This window comes from Homo sapiens, chromosome 9, assembly GCF_000001405.40.
Source record: "Homo sapiens chromosome 9, GRCh38.p14 Primary Assembly".
In the NCBI taxonomy this organism is placed as follows: Eukaryota; Metazoa; Chordata; class Mammalia; order Primates; family Hominidae; genus Homo; species Homo sapiens.
Window position 1 is genome coordinate 94,140,226 of NC_000009.12, and position 20,177 is coordinate 94,160,402.

General features: G+C 49.1%; 1 pseudogene across 1 annotated transcript, besides 3 other annotated features; it reads left to right on the forward strand.

Annotated features, from left to right (window-relative positions):
* Positions 877-1,046: an enhancer, noted in NCBI's record as "experimental_110048 CRE fragment used in MPRA reporter constructs". NCBI's record gives its function as "activates a minimal promoter by MPRAs in K562 erythroleukemia cells, with activity observed for the non-introgressed 9:96903469 variant allele {active_cell/tissue: K562}" and the evidence as "EXISTENCE:reporter gene assay evidence [ECO:0000049][PMID:34662402]".
* On the forward strand, positions 7,741-19,060 carry LOC107987099 (tripartite motif-containing protein 54-like; annotated as a pseudogene). The gene is made up of 4 exons (NR_171889.1): positions 7,741-7,949; positions 10,961-11,119; positions 13,721-13,891; positions 18,993-19,060. The product of NR_171889.1 is annotated as a tripartite motif-containing protein 54-like (transcript).
* Positions 13,638-13,807: an enhancer, noted in NCBI's record as "experimental_110072 CRE fragment used in MPRA reporter constructs". NCBI's record gives its function as "activates a minimal promoter by MPRAs in K562 erythroleukemia cells, with activity observed for both the introgressed and non-introgressed 9:96916230 variant alleles {active_cell/tissue: K562}" and the evidence as "EXISTENCE:reporter gene assay evidence [ECO:0000049][PMID:34662402]".
* Positions 13,944-14,113: an enhancer, noted in NCBI's record as "experimental_110085 CRE fragment used in MPRA reporter constructs". NCBI's record gives its function as "activates a minimal promoter by MPRAs in K562 erythroleukemia cells, with activity observed for the non-introgressed 9:96916536 variant allele {active_cell/tissue: K562}" and the evidence as "EXISTENCE:reporter gene assay evidence [ECO:0000049][PMID:34662402]".
* Positions 19,061-20,177: the final 1,117 nt, after the last annotated feature.

Sequence of the window (20,177 nt, forward strand, 5' to 3'; positions counted from 1 at the left end):
GAGCCATTCATTCAGCACTTCATTATGGAGCATCTTAGAGTCCTTCCTGGGCTTAGGGACACAAATGGACCACGGGCTGCGTCGGCTCCTCAGCAGTTCAACTAAGTGGGGAGGCAAGCTCTGGGAACAGACTGCAGCCCCAGGCCAGATGGCTTCTTACCGGGAACATACCAGGTCATGTGAGGCCAAGAGCCCTCTGGGAAGGCAGAGAAGGCTCCACAGAGGAGGGGACATGACTCGTGGATTTGTATGCAGAAAATAGAGGGACAAGAATTCTGGACAACAAAACAATAGATACTAGCACTCCCGGCCTTTCATTCTGAAAAGCCAAATCATCCTTTGTCCACGGACTGTAGGGAGAGGTTGGGGTAGAAATAAAGTCAGTGAGTCATTCTGGTGGCAAATTTCAAACAGCCCCAACCCCCACTTTTTAAAACAGTCCACAAACAGGTGAGCAAGAGTAGCGCATTTCTTCTCTTTCTTTAAACCAACTCAGTGTAGACTTCAAGCCCCCATCTCTCCCCAGGCAGGTGAAATACCTGATCTCAGTCATGCCAGGCCTCCAAGAATGTGCCACGGTCCCAAGACCATCCGCAGCCCTACAGGTTGGGCCAGGTCCTCTGCTCCCCATCCCAGGGCCTGGGCTGTTGAGATGTGGAGCCTCTGGGGAGGGACCACTAGCAAAGCTGGAACACGTGTGTATTCTCTCTTTAAAGGATAGAAATGTGCCTAGAGGCCAGCATTTCCAAACATGCAGAGGGCCTCTCTCCAGCTGGGCCGGGGGTGAGAGCAACCCTGGCATTAAGCCTGTTCCCATTCCACCATCTGCATGGATGGCTCTGTCCGAGGTTTTTAACCACAGACATCCTGGTAATCGGGTTCCAGGAGTTCAGAGACCTGTCTTCTAATTTGGCATCCTCTCTTGACCCCAAGAAAATCACTTTTATCTTTCTCTTTGTGTGAAGTCAGCTGGCCACACCCCCAGCCATTCAATTTGTCTACAGATTCTTGGGCAAATGTCTTTCAGTTCCAACTCCCTGTCTCCAACCCTGGGTCAGTCTCTGGGTCTCTTTCCACTTCCCTCCACACCCCTCAGGGCCTGTCTAAAGACGCATCCTCCACATTCTTTCCCCACTTCCAAGTCCCATGGTTTCCCTGGCTTTGTCTGATAGGTACCAAAATGGGTCCCAGCTGGAGTCCAGCTTGTCCCCCACAGTGGGGGCCAATGTCGCATCATCCCGCACAGCACAGTCCCCTCACCTCTGAGACCTCACTTCTGCTGTGTTTCCACCCTTCCCCCGGTGACATCTGCCCTCCTGGCCCACTTCAGAGGAATTTTCTCCATGCACTTCCCCAGACCCCAGGCCAGTGACCTTCTCTTAGTCTGAGAACTTGGCAAATTCTTCTCCTCAGACAGCACTCACTTCCTGCAGTGAGCATGCTGCCCCAGACAACTGCGGGCTCCTGGGAGGCAAGGGTGGCTCAGGACAAAGATTTCCCCAGACCCGCAGAGCCCGCTGGTGTCCAAGGGGAGCAGAGGAGGAGAAGAATCTGCTACAAGGAGATTCTACAGGAGATTCTACAGTGTGGAGAAAATTGCAACGAGGCAAAACCACATCAGCATCATGAGCTACAGGCAGGAATGGAACAGGTTCCACAGAGTCAGGAAAGGGTCCACCTCCATTTAAGTCGGGCGGCCTCTGGACAGGGGCGCAGGGGTGTGGGGCAGACCTCCCCCTCTCTGCCCCCTCATTTGCCCCCCTGCCAGCCTGCGTGTCCCCTCCCTCGGTTGCGCTCCCACCACCTTTGCCCTTGTCCCTGAATCCCCAGGCATCTGGCCTCTCTGGAACCAGTCACTGGTCATGTCTGAGGTTCCAGGTCCCCTGCTCCCTCTGACCTCAGAAGCAGTGTAGACTTACTGCCCGCTCTCCTCCCTTGGCCCCTCTGGCTGTCTGACCCCTTTTCTGGGTCCTACTCCTCCTCCTGGCCCAACTGTCAGTGCTGCCCACACCCCTCACTGCCTCCTGGGGAGGGGTCACCCCACTGCGCCCATCCCTCCCAGCCGCTGTGGCCTGGGAGCTGGCATTCACCACCCAGAGCCAAACACAAGGCCCTGGAGCTTGTCCTGCCCCAGGGCCACCAGGATGAAGGCTGGCTGTCCTGCTGCCTCCTGTACCCTCTCTGTTTCATTTCCATCTGTAAAAGGCAGTGCCAAGAATGGTGGTTGTCAGAAGCTATGGGGAGCGGGAATGGGGAGTTGTTGTTCAATGGGGACAGAGTTTCAGTTTGAACTGAACCAATAAAAACGTTCTGGAGATGAATGGTGGTGTTGGTTGCACAATCATGTGAATGCATTTAATGCCACTGATCTGGACAATTAAAAATGGTGAGGATGGTAAATTTTATGTTATGCATATTTTACCAAAATTTTTTGTTTGTTTTTTTCGAGACAGAGTCTTGCTCCAACCTGTTGCCCAGGCTGGAATGCAGTGGCGCCATCGTGGCTCACTGCAACCTCCTCCTCCCAGATTTAAGCAATTCTCCTGCCTCAGCCTCTGCAGTAGCTGGGATTACAGGTGCCCACCACCACCCCTGGCTAATTTTTGTATTTTTAGTAGAGATGGGGTTTCACTCCACTGGCCAGGCTGGTCTCAAACTCCTGACCTCATGATCCTCCCACCTCGGCCTCCAAAAGTGCTGGGATTATAGGCTTGAGCCACTGCACCCAGCCTACCACAATATTTTTAAATGAGAAGAAAGAGCATTGCCCAATAGTGCCTACTTTGCACTGTTGCTTACTGATTAAATGGGATGATGTTTGCAGAATACTGAATGCAATGCCCGCATCCAATAACAGTTCAATAAATGACCTCTAAATTATCTCTAGATCTTCAGTCACAGTCTCCAGTTGCCTGCCAGACACTCCCACATACCCTTCATACCTCGTCTTGGGGCAAATGAAATGCCTGCTGGGGCTGACGCTGCCAAGAGCAGAGCCCAGACTGAATCCCACTCCCATTACCCCTCAGCCTGTTCTCCACACACAGAGGCCTGACAGAGGAAACAGGGGTGGGACGAGACAGGCCTGGGCAGTGCAGCTCCCAGAGTGGTCCCCACTTGGAAAGTGGGGTGCAGAAAATAAGAGTCAGGATTTAGAAAATCTATGCCAATCTGACAGTGTCTGATGAATAGAATAATTAAAGTTGGGTTTGTATTCTGGATGTCTTTTAAAAATATTTTTCCAGTAGTTTATCTTTACGTTATGAAAGTGTTGATCTGTGTTATATTAGAAATTTTTAAAAAGAGACCAGGCACCATGGCTCATGCCTGTAATCTCAGCACTTTGAGAGGCCAAAGTGGATGGATCACTTGAGGCCAGGAGTTCAAGACCAGCCTGGCCAACAAGGTGAAACCCTGTCTCTACTAAAAATACAAAAACCATCCGGGCGCGGTAGCAGGTGCCTGTAATCCCAGCTACTAGGGAGGCTGAGGCAGGAGAATCGCTTGAACCCAGGAGGTGGAGGTTGTAGTGAGCCAAGCTCGCACCATTGCATTCCAGCCTGGGTGACAAGAGCAAAACTCTGTCTCAAAAAAAAAGAAGAAGAAGAAGAAGAAAGAAAGAAAAAGAAATTTTTAAAAAGAACTAGGCCTTTACCATAGATAGTTTGAAAAGCCCCAAGCTAGGCTGTGCCAGGATAACAGATCAATTCCTAAATCTCAGTGGCTTAACCAACGATAGCCTGATTCTTGTTTGAATTCCCACGGGGTGGGCTAGGTGGCTCTCCCCAGGTCCAGAACCCAAGGCCTGGGGTTGCTGTGCAGGGGACAGTGGACAGAGGAGGCTGGAGCTTAACTGCCCACCTGCTGCTGTGTGTCCTAGGACCAGAAGGACCATACAGCCTGGCGGAGGCTGAGAAACACAGCACAGCCAGTGGATAGTGGGTGACAAGAGGGTCTGCCACCTTGTAGATCTGAACCTGGGCTCTGCTCCTGGGATCCGGGTTTCTGTAAAGGAGCTGGTCTTCACTGTCATTAGGTGCCTGAGTCTTAAAAGCAAAGGGCCATCTTTGGCCCTTGTCTGCCTGTTTTTGCAGGTCCTGCCTGCAGGCAGCCCCCAGCCCAGCCCCACAGCTTCCCATTTCCCGCAAACTATCAAGCACACACTGCATTTCTTCAGTGCCCAATAAACTGTGAACACTCTTGTTAAACCAGACTACTCACTATCTTCACATTTTCCAGCTCCCTGCCTTGGCTCCAAACAGTTGGTTTCCTGGAATCTACCTCTCCTCAGTCCTCTCCTTCATTCTTGCATGTCCAAGCACCACCCATCCTTCAAGCCTCAGCTCAAATGCCAAGTCTTCCAGGAAGGCTTGTGCACAAGCCAAGAATGAGCATTAGAACACCCAACTGATAGTGGCTTAAGTAACAGAGACGTTTATCTTACCAGAAGTCTCCAGCAAGGTGGTTCCAGGTTCTTTCAGCAGCTCGCTGATGTCAAGGTCAATGGTCTGGATCAGCATCTCTGCTGACCTTCAGGGCTTTACTTCTTGATCACAAGACAGCTGCAGTAGTGCCGTGATCATGTCGTTACACAACTGCAGTCAAGGCAGAAAGAAGGAGAGGCAGCAGGAAAAAAAAAAGGTGGGCAGTTTTCCTTTTCTATTATAGAAGGAAGCATTTCCTAGCAAACCTTCTAGCAAAATTCCCCTGACATCTCATTGGCGAATACTAGTCCATGTAGCCAAACCTGCCCTAAATGTTGGGGTATCTGGGATAGTATCTGGCCTGGGGGATGACCTTTACATAATGGTCTCATCCATCATGGACCTGTCTCAGGAGTTAAGAGCAGCCAGGGTGCTCCTAGCAAGACAGAAGGCAGCTGGGCGCAGTGGCTCATGCCTGTAATCACAGCACTTTGGGAGGCCAAGGTGGGTGGATCACTTATGGTCAGGAGTTCCAGCCTGGCCAACATGGTGAAATCCCATCTCTACTAAAAATACAAAAATTAACCAGGTGTGGTGGCAGGCACCTGTAATCCCAGATACTCAGGAGGCTGAGGCACAAGAATTATTTGAACCCAGAGGCAGAGGATGCAGTGAGCCGAGATTGCACCACTGCACTCCAGTCTGGGCAATAGAGCAAGACTCAGTATCAAAAAAAAAAAAAAGAAGGCAATGGCTCTAGTAGAGTCAGCAACAGACAGAGGCTGCCACACCTTCCCCATCCTTTCTGTTTCCACTTGCAAGTAGTCTTGTATTCTCTAAATGTTTACAGCTTCTTATCTCCCATGGCTCATAATATTTCCTACCTTTTCGTTATCAGTTAGGATTGCAAACCTGGCTTGCAGTGGCTTTGTTGTTCTCACATAACTATAGGTTGGAGAGAAGTGAGCATTGACATGGGTCCAGCAGTTCACTAATGTCAGCGTCCATATCTGTGCTTCTCTTGGTGGTTTCTCTCATGGTTACAAAACGTCTGCTACAACTCCAGCTTTTGAGTCTTCACACAATGTGGAAAGATATGGGGAGGTGTGGTGACATTTGCATGTTTCTTTTTTCAGGAGTGCAAAAAAGTTTCTTCGAAGCCTCTGAGCAGACTTCAACATGTTTCATTGGACAAAAGCCTATCACATGACCACCCCTTGACGTCAGTCTGATGAGGGGAGTAGTCAGCGTTTCTGGCCTTGATGGAAGATGGTTAGGGATGTCATGACTGGTGGGCCAGCTGGGATGCCTGCAGCTCTCCTTCTGTATCTGTCATCTCCTTTGGACTGAGAGCTCTGTAAGAGCAGGGATATTGCTTATTTCTTTTTTTATTATTATTTTATTTTGTGTAGAGACAGGGTCTTGCTATGTTGCCCAGGCTAGTCTCAATCTCCTGGGCTCAAGCAATCCTCCCGCCTCAGCCTCCCAAAGTGCTGGGAGTGCAGGCATGAGCTACTGCGCCCAGCCTGTTTCTTATTTATGACTTGGACCTGATTATACAGGAGTGTTGTGGTAAGTAACTGGGACAGTGCATGCTGAGAACTCATGTGTGCTGAGCCATCCAAGAGTGGCTGTCGCCATCATGAACAAGGAGCAGTCACAGCACCTTCAGCCCCCCAGGGCCCATCTTGTGTCTTGAACATATTTGATGCTGGGTGCCTGCATGCTGAATAGGGGCTGAGAGTGTGGGGTGTGGGTTTTCACTCCTTCCTCCCTGCTCCCCATGGTCTCATGAGCATGTCTAGCAGTGTAACACACCCATGCTTTTTTGTGTGTTTGATACAGAGTCTTGCTCTTTCACCCAGGCTGGAGTGCAGTGGCGTGATCTCGGCCCACTGCAACCTCCGCCTCCCAGGTTCAAGCGATTCTCCTGCCTCAGCCTCTTGAGTAGCTGGGATTACAGGCACCTGCCACCAGGCCCAGCTAATTTTTGTATTTTTAGTAGAAACGGGGTTTCACCAGGCTGGCCAGGCTGGTCCCGAACTCCTGACCTCAGGTGATCCACCCTCCTAGGCCTCCCAAAGTGCTAGGATTACAGGCATGAGCCGCCGCGCCCAGCCACACCCATACATTTTACCATGAACCTTCACATCTATAGGACAACCTCATCTGTGAGGCAACATAGCTTGCCAGGAAAAGAGAAAGAGTCATATGGAACATGACACATTGCAGCCTTGGAAAGGTTATCCTACCTCTCTGTGCCTCAGTTTCTCTGACTTAATGAAAGCTAATTTCTTGAGCCTCTTAGGGCTGTGGAGATGAAATAAGAGATAACACATGACAATGCCGGCCCAACATGGGTGCTCAACTAGTGCCCCTTGTTTGGACTGGCTGATCCTCCAGGAACCCCCAGGCAGGCAGACGAGACAGGCACTGAGGGCTGGGAAAGGCCAAGTCAGAGTCCACAGACTGGCGATGCCCAGGATCAGAGAGGAAGGGCTGAGAGATGGCCTCGTTCAACACACGTGAATGAAGAAGGAACAGGAGAGGCCAGGGGCTACCTGCCTCAGATGGTCCGGCTGTGGTGGGGTGGTGGCCCTATCCCCCAACTCCTCCCTGCTAACCTGAGGCCAGGATGCTGTGCCTAGGAGTAGCTGGATTTTAGTAGGTTCATCTTCTCAATTACACAGGACCACAGACTCTTTCAGTAAAGAGCCAGAAAGTAAATACTTAAGACTTTGCAGGTCATGCGTGGACTCTGTTGCATATCTTTGTTTTTGTTGTTTTGTTTTTCGCTTTTTGTTTTATATAATGCCTAAAAAATGGCCAGGCACGGTGGCTCATGCCTGTAATCCCAGCACTTTGGGAGGCCGAGGTGGGCAGATCACCTGAGGTCAGGAGTTCAAGACCAGCCTGACCAACATGGCGAAGCCTCGTCTCTCCTAAAAATACAAAATTAGCCGGGCATGGTGGCACATGCCTGTAATCCCAGATACTCGGGAGGCTGAGGCAGAAGAATTGCTTGAACCCAGGAGGCAGAGGTTGCTGTGAGCCGAGATCACGCCATTGCACCCCAGCCTGGACAACAAGAATGAAACTCCGTCTCAAAAAAAAAAAAGAGTCTAAAAAATCTAAGAACCATCTTGGCACACGAGCTGCAAAGAAAGGAGCTGCAGCTGGATTTGGCCGCCTGGCTCCCCGACACGTCCTGGCACCCCCGAAGCACTCAAGGAGCTTCCTTGCTTCATCCCCTGGAGGAAAGCCGGGCCTGGCCATGGCGCTATTGTGACGTGGCTCCCAGAGCAGTTTCAGGCCTGTTCTAGCATCTGGCCGGGGCGGCAGCCTGAGAGCCATGGAGCCGCTGGGTGCAACACTGTCCTGCCCGTGTGCATGGAGCTGCTTACGTTGCCTGCACTGCTGCTGTCCTGTTCCCACAACTTCTGCAAACAGTGCCTGGAGCTGATCTTGGTTTACCAGAATTGCACCCAGGTCCAGGGATGGTTCTGTTGTCCAGTGTGTAGGAAAGTAAGAGGAAAATCAGGGCCCTTTGACTCCACGAGGGAGCAGACTTCTTTCTGGTCTGCACTCTTCGAACTCTAGCCCATGAGAAAACTGGGGACTTTGGGCCCCAAAATGAAGACCAGCAAGGCAGACCCACATCTCTGAAGGGTTGTGAGAGGGCATCGGCAGGGGAGGACAGGCTTTTCCTTTAGGCTTAGAAGATCCATCAGGACCCACAGGGAGGAGCTACAGGAGGATGTACATTGTGGCCTAAGGTTGGAGAGAACTTTCTTACAGAACAGCTTGTTCAGTATGCGCTGGGGTAGGTAGGGCCATTTATTAGCACTTGCTAGGTGCCTTGTCACTGTGGTGGAAGACCAGAGAAGCAGAGCTGATGAGGGTTCAGATTTCACCCTTTAAGGAGAGATAGACCACACATATAATGGGAGACCCCACAGTGCAGGTCTGCAATGCACCGCAGGGGACAGGAAGGCCACAGGGGAGGCACTGCTGCATAGAATCTACGGTAGGACTGATGCTGATGGAGAGGGCAATCTAGGAAGAGACAGTGGCAGATAGCAAGGCCCGAGAAAGAGAGCCTAAGAAAGGAGGTGCTTAAGGGCCTGGCCCAGAGATCACGGAGGCTTGAGCATAAGGTGCTGTGGGAGACACCTGGGGCTTTAGGGTACCCACCCGAAGGGTAAGTAGGACATATTCCAGGAGGCCCTACACATCAAGCAAAGGGCTTTGCATTTTATCCTGTAAGCAGAGGGGAGCTAGTGACATATTTTAACCTGGAAAGGGTCATCATAACGTTGACTTCTGAAAGCACAATGTCACATGCTCTCATGGAAATTCTTTGTGTAACATTTCGCCAGCTGGACTGTAGGAATCATGACTGGTGTTGCCCCAGACCCTTTGGATATTTGTGGAAGGAAGGAAGGAAATCTAGAAGGAATAGGTTGCAGGCAGAGGAATCCTGAGGGGCTGGAGGGCAGGGAGAGAGGCAGGCGGTCATCACCTGGCTTTTGGGGGAGGGGTGCCATGAGGTGACTGCAGAGACAGGGGCAACAGCTCAGAAGCACCACACATTTGGATGGATCATTTTATTTGTCAACCTGGAATTTTCACTTATTTGTATGTTTATTTTTAAATCATATCAAAGAAATAGTGTAGAAAAGAGTTTATAATGAAAAGCAATGCTGCCATCCCACCCCTAGTCCCACTCTCCAGAGGCAATCTCTCCTAACTTTTTCTACCTCATTCTTCCTGCAGTCACCACCATAGCTCTGAGTATGTGTTTATCTCACCATTCTTCGCCCACTGGTTTTAGACGCTACTGGCATTTGCTGCCTCTCCGACGACTGAGCTTCTCGTGCACAGCTCCTTCCTCATCTTCCCTCCCTGAGCAGGTCCATGGCAACCTTAATTTCTCTATTGTGATTTTAAGTTAATGCACCAAGCAACTAGAGATAATGGCACCCTCTGAAGCTCCACTTTGTAAGGGAGGCGGTCCTTGTCCCCTGCCCTGCTCTCTGGCTTTCCTGCTCCCAGGTGACAGACACACAGGCTCCTCAGACTCCGGGAGCCCATAAGGAACCTGCAAAGGGCACAGGAAGTACACTGGAGGTCTTCGCAGAAATTTTGTTGAGCCTGGATTTGGGGGTTGGGCAGGTCATGCAGGTGCGGTCCCAAGAGGGTTGAGCAGAAGTAGCTGTGCGTCCTCACCCTGACAGAACACAGAGGATTGAGCAGAGGGACAGTGCTGGCTGGGATACTGGCTGCACCTGCGGCCTAGAAGGGCGGGAAAGAGCTTTGGACTGATTGAGTAGAGGCAGAGATTTGAGAAGGGAGGGAGGAAGAGGACTGGTGTGCCCAGCTCTGAAGGCAGACCCTCTGGGACATTTTCAGTGCTCTTCAGTTTTCTTTGAAAAGAAAAAAGGCCCAGATCCCAGGCGCAGGCCCATTCATCTTCCCTGGAGTATTCATTCTGCTGAATCCTGGAAAAGATTTATACACCAGCAGCATTCTGTAGTGAGTGTTATGCTGGAATTCAAACCCAGGTCCACCTCTTTTCAAGACAAGTTCTTTTCTCATTTCCGAGGCACCAGGGAAAAGAAATCACTTCCCTGCACTGGTTCTGTTGGGGCCAAAAGATCAGGAGATGATTGCCATTGAAAAGGTAGTTTGTTACTCAGAGTTCCCAAGAGGAGGGAGCCCCCCACCACGCAGGGCCACATGGGGAAGCCCCAGGGTTGATCAGGAAGCAAAAGGAATGGCAGGGAACTGTGGTCCAGGGCCTTTGCTGTGGTTTCCACAGGAAGAAATGGGGAGGGGAGGGTAAGCAGGCTAAAGACTGGCTAGTGTGAATCATTTCAGTGGGCTCTGAGGCATAGGAGCTGTGCCTTGCTCTCTGGTAATTAGGGCAGATGGACAGTGGCCTGCGTGTGAGAAGGTTGGATGGTTGGGGGTGTGGGATCTGGGTTGGTTGGTTTGCATCTGAAAAGCACAGTCCCAGGTGAGATCCTTTACTCTGTCTAGGAGTTGGCTAACCCTGGGAGGGCAGGCCCCAGGTGCCAAAACATCAAAATACAGAAAATAAAAGACACAGTGAGACCTGGTCCTTCGTTCTCTGCACTCCACTGGCATATCCAACTGTGCAGTCATTGACTGTGAGCATTTCTTACCACTGGACTGAGTTTCTGTGGAAGACAGAGTAGGTCCTAACCAAAACTCAATGGACTGAAGGAACGCAGATTCCAGTTTCACCTGATGGAGTTTGTAGTGACTTTCACAACAGATACTGGTAACAGGCCCACAGCAGGGCCAGCCTGGAAGTGTCATCGTGCAGGGTTCTCACAGTCACTTCCCTCTCCAGGTCTTGTCAGCCTTCCCCAGGGTGGAATGTGAGTTCTTTCCTCCTCCCAGATGGTGTTTTAGTGACCAGGAAGGGACATATTTCAACCTCCCCCAAAGATGAGGTGGCCTTTGGCCTCAGGAATTTGCCACAAACTCATGTGATCTCTGTGTTTTAGGACATTTATTTGAAGGGCAGGGGAACAAATGGATTGCAGGGAAACATCCTGGCTGAAAATATCCTGGAAAAGCTTAAGGAAGTACTTGAGACACTTCACACCGGGGAGCAAAACCAGCTCGCTCAGATGTGTGAAAAGCGTGGAAAAATCATGAATCTGGTATTAAATTATACTTTTTAAAATTTTCTTTTTGCCTAGCTGCCCAATCTGTCAAATTACTCGGTAAGCCTACATAGTTGAAACCAGATGTTTACTCAGGAGTATAGTAGAGGATTACTTTCCAAATCCACAGCCCAGTGCTAACTTTATTCTTGATTTGTAACGTGGAGCCCAGGGACGAATGTGTGTGTGTGTGCGGGGGGTGAGGGGGTGCATGTGTAGGGGGGGTGCATGTGTGTGTGCGCGCACACACACACATGCAGTATTCAGCCCTGCAGCCCACAGTGGGGTTGAAGGGGTCACATGTAGAAGGGCTCAAACAGGTACAGTGATTTATGAGATTTATGAGACTCCAGCCACCCTCAGTCATCTCGGAGAGAGGGTGCGGTAGGATGAGACTGGCGAACCGGCTATTCCTTCTGTTGCCTCCTGAATGGCTGGTGAGGAGGGACTCCTTTGGAGAGCTGAGTGTAATTCTGGCGTTTGGATGCTCAGCACACGTTTTCCGCACAGTGTGCCATATGAACCCTTGGTTGTTTCTGTGCAATGCTCTGTACATTGTACATTTCTACACACATATCTACAGTGTGCCTTGTACAAAACTAGATGTGTTCTACAAGACACTCCACATTCCCTTGCTAAGGGATCTTCAAAGGGAATTTTGAGGTAATTTTCCCCTTTGGCACTGACTTTAGGATGGATCCTTCTGTCAGATGGGATACCCCTTTAAAAGGCTTTAATTCTTTGCTGTTCACAAAGCACGTTTACAACCTTTAGCCTACTTGACTCCCCGAGCAACCCCGGAGGGGCAGGAGAAGGCAGAGTTTCCATGTTTCATAGATTAGGTAGCATCAGCCACCAGCCTTAGGGGCCTCATCTAGGTTGCTTCGTCTTTGCTCATTATCAGGTGTAAACTAAGTTGACAATTTTTTTTTCGAGACGGAGTCTCGCTCTGTCGCCCAGGCTGGAGTGCAGTGGCGCCATCTCGGCTCACTGCAAGCTCCGCCTCCCGGGTTCACGCCATTCTCCTGCCTCAGCCTCCCGAGTAGCTGGGACTACAGGCGCCCGCCACAACGTCCAGCTAATTTTTTTGTATTTTTAGTAGAGATGGGGTTTCACCGTGTTAGCCAGGATGGTCTCGATCTCCTGACCTGGTGACCCGCCCACCTTGGCCTCCCAAAATGCTGGGATTACAGGCATGAGCTACCGCGCCCGGCCCCCTAAGTTGACAATTTACTTGGAAGAAGTCAAAAGTATTCATGAGACTTCATAATTCTGCCGTAACTTGAAACTCTGAAGCCAACTCCAAAAGCAGAGATGTGGCTCTGAAAGAGGCTCTGGAAGAGGGTCTCCTAGCTCTGAATCAAGTCTGCCGCGGTGAGGCAGGGTCTCCCTGAGATCCTCTACCCTCAACCAGCTACCTGGGCCACCGCCTGAGCCACTCCTCTCTTCCTTGCAGCTTGCACTTCTGCTGAGATCAATGACACTGCTTGGGACAGGCTAGGTCAAGCCCCTGAGGTGCAATTATATATTCCTCTTTAGACTATGCCTTTAAGAATTGGTTTAGTTTTTCACAAGTTTGCTATGGTTCTGCCTCATCTTCAGCAGTCACCTCTATGGTGTTCATTCAGAGCCTGCCCCTGAACTGAGTAAGGAAGGGGTGGAAGCAGAAGAAGCAGGCAGAGGGGATGGCTCCTCTTTGATCCCCTCCATCTAGAAATGTGCTCAGCTTTCAGTCCCGTAGTGGGGCTCACTTTGTTTGTGAAGGTCCTTGTAATATTATCAATAGCTACCAGGGGTTTAATGTCATCCAGGTGTCAGGCACTACTCCAGGCATCTTACGTGCATCGCCCTATTTAATTCTCATGGCAGTCCTATGAGGCAGGTGGTGTGGTAATGTGGGAAAAGCTCTGACCTTAGACTCAGAAGGACCTTGTCTTCTAATCCCAGTGCTGTCCCTTCCTGGCAAGTTATTTGCAGCCTTCTGAGCTTCGTCACCCATAAAACCGTACTATGTAGGCTGGGTGCAGTAGCTCACACTTGTAATTCCAGCACTTTGGGAGGCTGAGGCGGGCAAATCACTTGAGGCCAGCAGTTGGAGACCAGCCTGGCCAATATGGCGAAACTCTGCCTCTACTAAAAATACAAAAAATTAGCCGGGTGTGGTGGCACGTGCCTGTAGTCCCAGCTGCTTAGGAGGCTGAGGCAGGAGAATCACTTGAACCTGGGAGGCGGAGGTTGCAGTGAGCTGAAATTGCACCACTGCACTCCAGCCTGGGTGACAAAGCAAGACCCCGTCTAAAACAACAACAACAACAACAAAACAAAACAAAACAAAACAAAAACCATACTATCTAAAGCAAAGGGTGGTCGTGTGAGGATTCCGTGAAATAACAACATGCACTTACTAAATCACCACCAGACCATCCTAGTACTATCATCACCTCTGTTCTACACACACCAGGGTGTCCTGTGCAACTGACTTTTAATACTTGCTTCACACATTCACAATGTCATCAGCCTGGGTAGGGCAGGTCTCTAGTGCATAGGGTTGGAAAAGGAAGGAAAGAAAGTTTCACTGACTTTTCTTCTCTCAATCAGTTGTGCCTAAGTGATGAAAAGCCAATATGCAGGATATTCAAGCTCTCTGGGGACCACAGTTCTCACCAGGTAGCCAAGATTGCTGATGTGTACACAGAAAGGAAAGCTAGCTTTGCTGAGGACATTCAGCAGGTGCTGCAGAGATCTGAGAGCACAGCCCAGGAAACGGAGGTATGGCTTGAATGGTTCCTCTCCTGTCCCCACATTAACAGGAAGACAATGTTTGGTTCTGGTTTCAACAGTTTTCTCTTCAGAGCACTAGGCCAACAAAGGTAGTGTATAAATGCAAAGGAGAAATCATAGATTGCATTCTCTAGAGACAGGTTCCCCTTGAGTCTGTCCTGAAACATGCCAAGTTTTGAAATGCGCACCTTAAGAACTGGGTCAGTCCTGATTGCTTTCAGGACTTCAAAAAATGAACAGTTAATAGCCAATTAATTTACCTTCCCTGAGTTCAGAAGATGGAGCTAAGAGTCTAGGGAGACCAAAGCAGTTAGAGTACATAGGACAGAGTTCAGAGAGGAGATGGTTACACAAACAGAGATCCTGGAGACCTGTCAGGGGTCTTCCTTGAGTACTCAGCAGTGAACTGATCAGCATATGTCTGTGAAGACACTACCCAAGGTCAGACAAGGAAACATAAAAATATTGAGGGAAGAGCACCTGATGCTTGCACAGGACAAGGAACAATGCCTATTTCCACAAGACCGGAAAAACTCATACATCATGGAACACTGGGAAGAGCACTCAGAAGGTCTTGCCTCCAAGTAGTCAGAATAATTAGCCCTAGATGGACCACTGCTGTGGACCCACCTAAAAAACAATAAAAGCAAGACCTGAAAGGATCAAACTCTTTCCAAGTACCTCCACTGCATCCCATAACAAAATTGAAGATTTATAGGAATACAAAAATATCCAGCTCCCAACCAAGTAAAATTCACAATGTCTGGCATCCAATCAAAGATTACCAGGCAGGCAAAGAAGCAGGAAAACATAGTCTATAATGAGGACAATAATCACACAATCAAAATCAAATCAGAACTGAGACAAATGTTAGAATTAGTAGATGAAGACACTGAAACTTATTATAATTATATTCCATATTTCAGAAAGTTACAGACAGAAAATATAAAAATATTCAAATTAGATCTACATCTATGTACTCAAACAAAAATTTAAAATTTTCAAATTTTTAAATTATTTTTATTTATTTATTTTTTTTTTTGAGACATAGTCTCACTGTCTCCCAGGCTGGAGTGCAGTGGCACAATCTCAGGTCACCGGAAGCTCCACCTCCCGGGTTCACGCCATTCTCCTGCCTCAGCCTCCCAAGTAGCTGGGACTACAGGCGCCCGCCACCACGCCCAGCTAATTTTTTGTATTTTTAGTAGAGACGGGGTTTCACCGTGTTAGCCAGGATGGTCTCGATCTCCTAACCTCATGATCCGCCCACCTCGGCCTCCCAAAGTGCTGGGATTACAGGTGTAAGTCACTGTGCCTGGCCAGGATCCCTTTCTTAGAAGGCAGGAAACTGAGATCCAAGGCTGCCCAGCTAGCAAGAACCAAGATTCTCCTGGGTCTGTGTGGCTTCTTCATTGGTGTGCTTTCCCCTACTTTTTGCTGCCCCATCTGGAAAGACCTGATCATGGGGTGATGCTGGTACTGGGTTTTATTTCTTTTATTTATTTTTGAGAGAGGGTCCTGCTGTGTCACCCAGTCTGGAGTGCAGTGGCACAATCACGGCTCACTGCAGCCTTGACCTCCTGGGCTCAAGGGATCCTCCCATCTCAGCCTCCCGAATAGCTGGGACTGCAGGCATGTACCACCATGCTCAGCTAATTTTTGCATATTTTGCAGAGATGGGGTTGTGCCATGTTGCCCAGGCTGGCCTCAAACTCCTGAGCTCAAGCAATCCACCTGCCTTGGGTCTCAAAGTGTTGGGATTACAGGTGTGAGCTGCCGTGCCCAGCTTGGTGCTGGGCTTTAGGGGTGAACTGAAGACCACCAGTTCCGGAGTATGAGATCTTGACTTTTTCTAGAAATATTAGAATGGTTGCATCTGAGATTTCATTTATTTCCCTCTAAATTATTCAGGTGATTTCTTCCATGTGGCTATTCTTTCAACAATGATCTGCATTTGGCTGTAGCAGAAGTCCATGAGCAGTGGCTTTAAAAAATTAGGGGTTCTATTTTTTTACTTTAATGAAATGTCCCAAGGTAGGAAGTCAAGGCTGGCTGGCTTGGGATCCGTGATGCTCCAGCCCTTTTCTCTCAGCCATTTGGTAGGTGCTCTTGTCAGCACGTAGTCACAGGATGGCTGTCCCATATAGGCATCCTGTCCATGATCCCGGCAAAGGGAAAGGGAAGGGTCAAGACTGGTCCCAGGGGCACATGCCCACTTTTAAGCAGCTTCCTAAAAGCCCACCTGACTGGATTCTACTTCTGCTTCCATTGCACACCTGGTTACTCCCAATGTCAAGGGAAGCAGGAAATGAATGTAGTATTTTTAGCTGCCCACATTGGTTCCCCCAAAGAATCAGAGTTCTTTGGGTAGAAAAGTGGTGAAAAACGGGTAGTGGGCTGGCAACCAGCAGTGTCTGCCAGGCCTGGGGCCTCCCTGCCTCAGGGTGGAAGCCCGGGCAGAGCAGAACCTGTGGGCTGGAGGGCCTCCCTGCAGGGCTTGCCTAAGTGTGTGTTAGTGCTCCCTTGGCAGGACACAGAGAGGCTCATCAGACCTGTCCACCAGCACCACCAGCACAAGGACCATGATCAAAACCATCGGAAACTGCCTGATCAGCGGCATCCACAGCCGCAGCCACATGGTTACCTCAAAGCAGGAGCTGGAGCATGCCTCCGAGTTGGAGAGGCTGCAGTGGGTGGCCTGGGACCTCACAGTCCCCCGCCAGCTCTGCCACCAGATGCTGAGGCTCCTGCAGCAGCACCAGAATGCGATATAGTTTCTGCGAGAAAGGACAAAAAGTTCAGGACGGAGATGAAGAGGCTCATGCACGATGGCATGGTCCCCCAGGTCCCTGAAAAGGACAACATGTCTATCAGGCACTAATTTCAAGAGCTCATTAAAGGAATAGATATTGCTGACTTGGTCCTGCCTGAGTTAGCCCAGGCGCTGGCCACCGTGGCCAGGCTGCCCGAGGCCTGCAGGATGGGCAGGGCCACGCAGAGCGAACTGTTGGAACAAACGCTCCAGGAGATTTTATGCAAGTCAGAGTTGGGCTTGCTGCCAAAACCGAACAAAGAGGCAAAGCTTCCTGGGGACCCATGTTATTCCTCCTCCACTTCCTCCACTGGTGTGTTCTCCACACAAGGAAGTGGGCTTAAGTCTAGGGAATCAACAGCGTAAAGTCATATTTTGGCCTCAAAATGTCAAAAACTTTGATCATTTTGCCTGTAATTTGAAAGTTGCTAGACTTCACTTCTTAAAAAGAAAAAAAAAAAAAAAACTTTCCACATTGTGATCTCTCTCTTGATTTGGGTTATTCTGCTGCTAATTAATCATCCAAAGTTTTTTTTTTTTTTCCATTTTTAATGGAAACCTGCTTTAAAAGCTTGTTGCTGAAAGCTAACATAGGAGGGCTTTAACTAGTGGGAGATGCTGAGCTTGGCTGGGCTGGAGGTGGTGCAGGAGGTGAGTTCTTGGCACAACTGAACAGAACAGCATCGTGCTCTGATGACTTACTGTGCAATTTCAGCTCAATTGAGCTTCAAATACTAGACATTACAACGGCAATGACTCCACAGAAATGAAGCCTTGGTTAGCTCTTGTCCATGGATTTTGTTCTTTTTCCTTCACAACAGTCCTAACTACAGTTTATTAAATGCTTACCATAGACTACTATGCACCCTTTATATTAATGAGTTAATTTAATTCTCAAAATAACTAAAAGAGCTGAGAATTATTATCTCCACCTTATAGGTGGACACTCAGGGTCAAAAAATGTAAATAACTGGTTTAGGATCACATATTTACTTAAACAGTGAGCCGTAAAACAAATTCAAGTCCATCTGGGTGAGGCCTGACTTCTTGTAGGATATTCCTAAGTCTCTGAAAGCAGTACTGATTTGGAAACATCACCTTAAAGAACACTGCTGGCCTGCCGCGGTGGCTCACGCCTGTAATCTCAGCACTTTCGGAGGCCAATGCGGGAGGATCACTTGAGGCCAGGAGCTTGAGACCATTCTGGGCAACACAGGAAGACCCTGTCTCTACAAAAAAAAAAATTTTTTTAAATGGTCAAGCATGGTATCCCCCACCTGTAGTTCCAGCTACTTGGGATGCTAAGGTGAGAGGACAGCTTTAGCCTAGGAGTTCGAAGCTGCAGTGAGCTATGATCGTGCCACTGCACTCCAGCCTGAGTGACAGTGACATCCTATCTCAAAAAAAAAACCACTATTACAATTCTCCAGAAGTTCACTCACTCTTCTTTCCAGTCCACTAGTTTTTATTAAACATTTATCTTAAAATTCAGTGTTTATGAATTACTTTGTGAATGTCTATTATGACAAGCACTGAGTTTAATGCTTTACATACATTACGTTATGAGAACTCCATTCCACCTGAGGAGGTAAGCATTAGAGTGCCTAGTGCCGAACGAACAGACAGATGAACTGAGGTGAAAGGAGATCAGCAGTTTGTCGAAAATCGCAAATAGCATGGTAGAAATGTGGGTTCTAGATGTTACTCTCAAGCCAGTCCTCCTCCTAACCACTTTATTAGTAACATCTCTGGTTGCATGTGACAGAAATTCCATCCAGCTCCAGGTGAGAAAAGAGGGAAATGTACAGCTTCTGATGCTCAACGGGGAAGGGATGGAGTGTCCTTGAGGATGCCTGGATGTGGGGACTCAGCTGCTATCATGACCTCTTTCTCTGTTTTTTGTCTCTTTTTCTTTTTTCTTTTTGAGACAGAGTCTTGCTCTGTCACCCAGGCTGGAGTGCAGTGGCACCAATCAGCTCACTGCAACCTCCGCCTCCTGGGTTCAAGCGATTCATTCTCCTGCCTCAGCCTGCCAAGTAGCTGGGACTACAGGCGCCCGCCACCACACTTGGCTAATTTTTGTATTTTTAGTAGAGACGGGGTTTCACCATATTGGCCAGGCTGGTCTCAAGCTCCTGACCTTGTGATCCGCCCGCCTCAGCCTCCAAAGTGCTGGAATTACAGGCGTGAGCCACCGCGCCCAGCCTTGACTCTGTTTCTTGACTCTTGCTTTGCTTTTTCTGCTGTGGACTGACTTCTTCTCACATGTCATTACAGCTTGGGATCTGCAGCTAAGAGGACTTCCTTCTCCCAGTCCATGTTTACATTTCCAGGAAGGGACACTGGCCTTATTGAGGTACTGTCCCCTTATAGGACTTACCAGTGTGTGTTACCCACTCACCTCTGTGGTTAAGGTACTGTGATTAACAGCTGAGACCACAACCCCACAACTAAAGTGGGGCAGGAGCTGTATTTCAAAAGAAGAGGCATGCTTCCAGGCCAGAGGACACAAATTTAGATGACTTCAGGGGCCAGGCTTGTAGTAAGAATGAAGCAGGCTCAATGGGGACTGTGACAAATAGCAGAGCCCACGCTGCACATAAAGAAAATATTGTCATGTTGGAATGTAGGCTGAGTGTAGCCAGAGATGCCAATTTTTTCTGAGAGAAGCAAGAAATCTAGATTTTTTTTTTCCTGTTAAATGTCTTGATTCTTTTGCATGCTGTCAGCTAGTTAAAAATAGCTTTAAAACATTGCGTGGGTATAAGAAGGCACTTCTGTGAACCAGATGTGACCCCCAGGCCATCACCAGTTTGCAAACCCCTGGTTGTAGGTAGAAAATATAATAAATGTCCACTCCACCCCGGGAATGCTCCCTGGGGAGATTCACTATGCCTGGAGCCTCCAGCTGTGGGTTTTCTCTCTTTCTGCTGTAACTCTTCAAAAGGCAGCTCTTCTGAGCACACAGAAAATGGGAGGCTCCTAGGTGAGGTTTTGGAAGGCACTATCCAGACATCACCCTCATGGTCAACACATCCACCATGCTCTGTGCTAAGACAGACCTGGGTTGACTGTTGCAGAAGACCCAGCGTATTAGGCAGGGTTCACCAGAGAAACAAAGCCAAGAGGAGATATATCCAGATATAAACAGATTTATTATGAGGAATTGGCTTGTGTGATTTATGGAGGTTGAGAAATCCCACAGTCTACCATCTGCAAGCTGGTGACCCAGGAAAGCTAGCTGGTGGTGTGGTTCAAAGGCCTGAGAACTTGAGAGCTGATGGTGTAGATTCCAGTCTGAGTCTGAAGGCCTGAGAGCCAGGAGCACTGAGACCAGGAGAAGATCAATATTCCAGCTGAAATAGGTGGTGCAAATTCAACCCTCCTCCACCTTTTTGTTCCATTTGGGCTTTCAATGGATTGGATGCTGCCCACCCACACTGGGGAGGGCCACTTGCTTTC